General features: G+C 44.4%; 1 annotated feature.

The window, feature by feature from the left end:
- Positions 687-796: an enhancer, noted in NCBI's record as "active region_18888". NCBI's record gives its function as "activates an Ori minimal core promoter by ATAC-STARR-seq in GM12878 lymphoblastoid cells {active_cell/tissue: GM12878}" and the evidence as "EXISTENCE:reporter gene assay evidence [ECO:0000049][PMID:35858748]".

The following is a 1,641-nucleotide window of genomic DNA, read 5'->3' as shown; positions in this document are numbered from 1 at the left end:
GTGCTAGTCTGGAAAAACCTAAATCCTGGTCAACTTCAACACTCAGTCTGCTCATTGCCTGCCCCAGGAAGTTGTATGTGGCTGAGAAAACACGCGCAAGGTAGCTGACAGCCCTCCCCTTAAATTCAGATTGAAATTCAGATGGGCCCTAATCCTGCCTGGCAGACCTGCCATGTTTTCCCACTCCTGTCTTCCTCTTTTCTGCCAGATGACTTTCCCGCATTCCTCCCTCCCCACCCTTAGCTAAGGACCTTTGTCTCCTGTGTCACATTGTGAGAAGGCACCTGTCCTTTGTCAAGGCTTGTCTCGCCTGGATTTTGTATTTAGATATTTCAGTCCCCTGGAATCAAATCAGATCACCATCACTGCTAATTTTGTGCTCTTTCCAGCACACATAGCACCACTGGCTCCCCATCAATGTTGAATACAAACACCACGTTTTTAGAAACTGCCCTTTTTCCAAGCACCTTATTAATCCTCAAAGCATTTGTAAGCTTTAAAAAATTTTTGCTAGCAGCATGTGACATGAGGGACAGGCCACAGCTCACGTTCCCCATTTTCCAGACCAGGAAAACTGGGACGCTCGGCTGAGTTCCTGGTCCAGCATCATACGGTGAGTCAAGTTAGAGTTGGAGGGTTTTGTCCCCTCTTTAAAACCCACCGCCTCTTTGGGACTGTATTCTAACAAAAGGGAATCAAAAAATGCAAAATACAAAGGCTTCTCCCCTGCCCCCCAAATGAGGCTGAATAATGCAGCTGAAAGTTATCTGCAATTGTGGCTGGTTTCAAGGCCCAGAATGTAGGATGGGGGCTAGGGGAACTGGGGAGAGGTCAGTGTTTTCATCCAATGAGACTTTTTGAAATAATGAAAATGACCCAGATCTGGGCTGTCTGCAAAGGGCTTTCAGTTCCTCTTGTGGCTCTCAAATACCAGCCAGGCTGAGCATAAGCTGTGAAGAATTACCTGAGCCTATTAAAAATACATATTTCTAGGCCCTAACTGAGACATACTGAATCAGATTCTCCAGGGTTGGATCAGAAAAATCTTTATTTTTTAACACACTCCTTAGCGTTCCTGATGCTAGGTTTAGGAACCCCTGAGTCCTTGTCATTATGAATCTATTTACAGTATATCCTAAAACGGCAAAGCTCTCAGGAGCTTAGAGATAGTTTAGTCTCTCACCCCTCATTTTACATATAAGAAAACTGAGTCTCAGAGAGCAGATGGGACCTGTCCAAGTTCCTGGACCCAGAGTAAGTTAACTGTAGTCCATTTAACTTTGAGTTACAGTCCCAGATCTAACTTTGGGATCAAATTGACATCACTGAAATTCACTTGTATATTAACTTTTAAATGGCTAAAAAGCAGAGTCAGGTTTCTCATTTAGATTCCTCTCTCTGGTAAAGCGAATCATCTGAGTCACGAATAGGCTTCCTCACACCCCATAGGATTTTATAAAGTGACTTCCATCCTGAACAGGAAATGCATCCCATGGGCCTTCTTATTTTTCTGTGTTGGTCTTTGGGTATTTGGCAGAGTTGGTCCCGAGATCAGGTCTCAGGTCTCAGGAATGTTTTGCTCACCATCTCTCATTGTCCCACTCTGTTGAATCCCTGTAAGTGGCTTGAGTCTTCCAAACC

The sequence above is a fragment of the Homo sapiens genome, chromosome 22 (genome assembly GCF_000001405.40).
Source record: "Homo sapiens chromosome 22, GRCh38.p14 Primary Assembly".
In the NCBI taxonomy this organism is placed as follows: Eukaryota; Metazoa; Chordata; class Mammalia; order Primates; family Hominidae; genus Homo; species Homo sapiens.
The sequence above is the reverse complement of the archived record's forward strand: the minus strand, read 5'-3'. Positions and strand labels throughout refer to the sequence as shown.